A 5468-nucleotide genomic window follows, 5' to 3' on the forward strand; every position below is an offset into this window, starting at 1 on the left:
TATCAACACCTAAGGACTGATTAAATTTGCTTCTTAGAACAAAGGATGGCTCACAAGGCAGTTTATGAAAAGGAGGAGCACAGAAAAATGGGAGAGACAGGATAGGTTTCAGAGTTATTTATGTAGTGGCAAACTCCATGTAAACAAAACTATCAAGAAGCTCTCTGAGTATTTATGGAGAAAAGAGCTGGGGGTGCGGGCAGTGGGGAGTGGGCAACAAAAAATAAACACAGCCTGGGCGTGGCCAGTAGATTAGAATGACTGCTGTTCATAAAATTTCTTTGATTGTTCTTGGAAAAGGGTATCACATTGAGGGCAGAACAAGGAGATTCGTCATACCTTACATACTTGGAACTATTAAATTCTTGGCTAACTCTTTCATCCTTACCCTTGTGCTAGCAGCCTCCACTTAAGCATTCAGGGCAAGGTGACCTGGGTCACTTCAAGGAACACAGTGTTTTCCATGGTGTACCATTTCCTTTTTAAAATGGAAAATTTTGTTCTATGGAAGAAATTACAAATTGGCTTTTAATTTTACATTTTACACGGGGCTGCTACAAATAACTTCAAGCAAAGATTATAGCCATGTGTACACAACAATTTTTTTTGTCTTTATTACCCTGAAAGTTCATGCCCTGGAGTATAGCATAACTGATGTTACTCTGCACTGGATTCACAATTTGAAAATGATGCATAGTGTGCACGTTTGCACATACCTCATTAGAGATCCAGTACTGCTTGTATTCTGAGACAATCCTGTGAACAACCAAATGAGAAGGCCTATCTTATATTTTACAGTGACAATTGAGTTTGCTTATCTACCTCATTTGCACACCTCTTGTCTCTCTGTTTGGTTTTAAATTGCTTAGTTAGTGAATCTGTCTTGCTTTTAAGTAGCAGTCAAGTCATTGCTTACCTGCCACCTTTGTTTTGTCCATCAGGGTTTCCCTGTCTTTCTGCCTGGCCGAGTCTGATTAGTTCTTGAATAATCTGGGCTTCTTGGGCTGCTGCTGAGGGGTAACCTGCATGCTTCCTGTAGCACATCTCATGCCCAAGATGGTCAACCACTAAGGAGAGGAAGGAGAAAGAGTATTGTGAATTTGAGTGTCCTCTGGGAGAGGGAGGGGCCAGTTGAACTAAACTAACTAAAATCGAGTAGATCAAAGAATGAGCCAGATGGGGGGTCTACCCATTTTGACCAAGCAGCCTGTCTGTTAATCCTATGCAACTGAGTCTCTCTAATACCTGATGTATTAATCCATGTGTAACAAGAAGTATCAGCAACTGCACAGATTTCTGCCTGTTCAGCCAGTAGGCAGTCTAAAGCAGTTCTATTATCTAGTACAATTTTAGCAAGATGATTTAAAGAAGTTTGTTGTGTAGCTGTAGCTTTGCAGTAGAATCTGCTATAGAGCCAATTATGAGGGAAAGAACCTAACAAATAATGTCCCTTCAGAATGGTTAATGTTTCCTGGCAATGTTCTCTTTAATCTATGACATAGGTTGAATAGTGGACCAATGTTCTGTTTTTGACTGATTATGGAGCAACAAGGGGACTATTAAAATTCCTAGCCCATTTTGGCCTTCATTTTCCATCCATCAAAGCACTAGATTGTCCACACATAAGGTTGGCCATGAAATTCTCCACAAATAAAACTATACCCCATGGGTGCACACAAGGTTCCTTTTCCAGTTCTCTTGTTCATGGACACATTATTTGGAATGGTGGAATGAGCAGTTTCTACCCAAGGGTCTGAATCTGCATTATTACAGATTAAAGCATGCTATAGTACCCTGGGACATATGTCAGTTTACAAGAAACTCCATTTGGGCTTTTGATGCAAACCTGTCTTGTGATATGCTCATGGGTTTTGTTTTTGTATTCCATTACTGAGTTAAATTAGAACAGGGAGTGAGAAAAAGTAGGCCTAGAAATCTTACCATTATTACAATTTGAACAGCAGTCATGTCAGGAATGTTGCTAAAGTTACCCACTAGGAGAACTAAAGGATCCCTTAGGTCATGTAAAGATCTGTGTTTGGCATGGCAGATATAACACTTCATCAAGTAACCCCCAGAAGAAACTAACTGTGAAATCTAAATTTCAGCATGATCCTGCCAGTGAAAGAGGCAGGCATAAGCAAGGAAAAATTAAGAGAAGTAAGAGTTTCATGGTGGTAGAGAAGTCTTGATCTGGGATCTTGGGAAGGCTGTCCACATCTAGGATGTCAACTGCTTCTAAGGGATAACTTTCCTGGTTAGCTTTACATTAAGGTTTCCAATGGGTGTTACAGTTCCAAGAAATTGGAGAAACCCTTCTGTGTTGTGAGATTAGGGACCCAAATTATAAGGTCCTGAAATTTTGCTGCAGTGTGGACTGTAAGAAGAACTTTGTATGATCCCTTTCAATGAGGTTCAAATGTAGTCTTTCTCTGAAGTTGTTTCCATAAGACCCAGTCTCCAGGTTCTAGGTTATGTAGGGTTTGATTGTCTTCAGTGGTGGATCACAAAAAGCCTCCCTTACTGAGTGAAAATATACTTTGGCATAATGCATTAGAGCCTTGCAGCATTTAGTCAGAATTTAGAAGAGCAGAAGATACATGAGGTTTTATTATTAGGGGTATAGGCCTTCCAGTGACTATTTCATAAGGGGTCAACTTATTTTTTTCAGTGGAAGTGGATCTTATTGCCATCAATCTGCAATGTCTTTGACCAAGCCAATCCAGTCAATTCAGTTAGCTTTCCCTAATGTTACTGTATCTATAATACCTTATTTAACTATTTTACAACTTGTCCAGTTATACAAGTACCTCTATTGTTGGAGATTTCTCCAGGAATGCCCCATGAGGGAAACAAACTTTCTAGTAACTTTTAAGCTACTGTTATCACATCAGCTTTCCTGCATGGGAATGCTTCTATATAACCAGAAAAACACGTGTTGAAAATGGCAATTGAATGAAATTTCTCTATAAATGGTCAAACAGCCCATTAGGTAGCAGAAACATACCTTCAGTTTTGATTGTCTCCCCAGGAATATGAGTTTGACAAACCAAACATTGGTCATAAGCCATTTTGGCAACCTTAGAGCAGTCACCACACCACATTTTTATAATTTTAATCATTTTATCTTTTCCATGATAAGTCATGGTGTGCAGAACTTTTAATGGGAGCTTGAAAGACTCAGGAAGGATAGGTGACCGTCTATGCTCTCCATGAGTTCATGTTTAACATTGCATTTACATTCTTCAAAATGTCAATTTTTTTTCTCCAATTCAGGTGCATAGCCCTGTTTATTAGATAGATTATCATATATAAGTTGAATTGGATTAACCTTACAAAGTTCATTCAAATTGCTGATGTCAGCAATTTCAGTACTGGCTGACTTAACCTAAAAATCTGCAAAGTGGCCATCAAAGATTTTAAAGGCAAATATAGAAGTTTACATCATTTTGGACAAAAAACTTAGCTCTTTTAATATTGAGAAGACTCAATTTTCTTAAGTAATCAAAGATCTAATAGAAGACAACATGAAGAACAGGAAATTATTTTAATAAAACACCCTACTTTTGTTTCACAGGCCAATTATCTAAAATACCTTTTACAACTTCCTATTAAAAGAAGAGGCTTACTCCAAGGAAATCCTGTTTCAATGGAGAGGACCAGATTCTACTTTTGCATCAGTGTACTTTTGATATTAATGCTCCATTTTTAAAAAAAAACTTATAATTCCCTTCTAATTTTAGCCACCCTGATCACACATAAAATTTATTTCCTAAGATTCATAAACTTTCTACATTTTATATCCTTTAAGTCATTTGTCCTATAGTTTTCTTCTTTCTTATTTTGGGACAATCAATCATTCTACTTTAGGAAAAAATTACTTTTTTTAAAAAAACAAAAACATACTTTTCATCTAAGCTTCACTTACAAAAACATGTCTTACTTTTTTTGTTTCTCTTATTTCTAATTTTAATTGCCATATATTAATTCGACTTTTTAAGTATTAGTAACCCCAATTTCTAGTGAAAACCTAGGAAGTGAGCAATTTTGAACTGTTTTGTATCAGCATTTAAAATAATTTTTAGAAACATTTTCTCAAAACACAATTTTTGTTTATTAACAGACCCACATATTAGCTTCTCTAGACTGTATAAAAACATGCCAAAGTTTGTAAAATTAAACTTTTGCTTAAAAATTAAAGTTTTAGCATTTTAACCTACTTAGAAATAACCCAGACATTTTATGAATCTCTCTTAATTTATTATGACTTTAAGACTTCACTGAAAAAGAATTTTGAAACTATGACAGGTTCACCTAAACAACTTTTATCCCATTCCATCAGGGGGTTATATCAAGGGACCTTTGGCCTTTTCTTTACTGACCTGTTTGATCATTACCCTAAGTAATTGTTAGCTAGGTTGTTCATTGTAATTTCTGCCTTCTGACTTTAAAAAATTTCTCCAAACTGGGGTAAAAAGAGTGAATTGATTTGGGATCTTGTAATGTTGGCAGACCGGCAGGTGTTCCTCTGTTTTGTCTAATCTTTGGTAGATTTACCTTTTGTTTTAACCCCATCACTATTTGCTTTACTTACCCCGTTTTTAATAACTATTAAAATTTTTTTAAATTAATTATTTTAAAAATAGAGACAAGGTCTTGCTATGTTGCCCAGGCTGGTCTTGAACTCCTGGGTTCAAACAATCCATCTGCCCTGGCCTCCCAAAGTGCTGGGATTCCAGACATCAGCCACTGTGCTGGGGCAACTATTAAAAAGTTTTAACCCAAATTTGCATTTCCAAAGGAATGGCTTAGTAAATAAGGTAGAAAATTTCCATCTCAAAAGCACAGAGCTGAGACTTTAGGTCTAAATACCATTATTTGCCCAAATCAAGGAAGGAGGATATAGATAAAGGCCCAGTTAAGACATAATGGCCAAGAATAAACACCTTAAACAGGTAAGGCTTGCTATACAGTTTGGGTTGTAACAGCATTCCCTGCCTGATATTTTCCTTCTGAGTATTTGGAATAAGGCCCATCCACAGAAAGTATTTATTCAGGATTATCCAGTGGAGTATCTTGTAAATCAACACGAGGGGCCACTGATTCTAATATTACATGTACATAGTTATAGTCTTCACTGTCAGACAGTAGAAGTAGTGGAGTCTCAAGGTTAAGTAAGTTGCAGTGTTTTATTTATTTTATTTTTAAGATAGGGTCTCACTCACCCAGGCTGGAGTGCAATGGCATGATCATACTCACTGCAGTCTTGAACTCCGTGGCTCAAGTGATCCTCCCACCTTAGCCTTCCGAATAGCTTGGACTACAGGCATGTGCCATCATGCCTGCTAATTATTTTTTTTTTTTTGGTAGAGACAGCATCTTGCTATGTTGCTCAGGCTGGTCTCGAACTCCCACCTTAGCCTCCCAACACATTGGGATTACAGGTGTGAACCATCATGCCCAGACTG

General features: G+C 37.2%; 1 annotated feature.

Annotated features, from left to right (window-relative positions):
* Positions 4599 to 5100: an enhancer, noted in NCBI's record as "NANOG hESC enhancer chr3:150566660-150567161 (GRCh37/hg19 assembly coordinates)". NCBI's record gives its function as "activates a minimal SCP1, AML or CMV promoter by ChIP-STARR-seq in primed H9 embryonic stem cells {active_cell/tissue: H9 hESC(primed)}" and the evidence as "EXISTENCE:reporter gene assay evidence [ECO:0000049][PMID:30033119]".

This window comes from Homo sapiens, chromosome 3 (genome assembly GCF_000001405.40).
Source record: "Homo sapiens chromosome 3, GRCh38.p14 Primary Assembly".
Taxonomy (NCBI): Eukaryota; Metazoa; Chordata; class Mammalia; order Primates; family Hominidae; genus Homo; species Homo sapiens.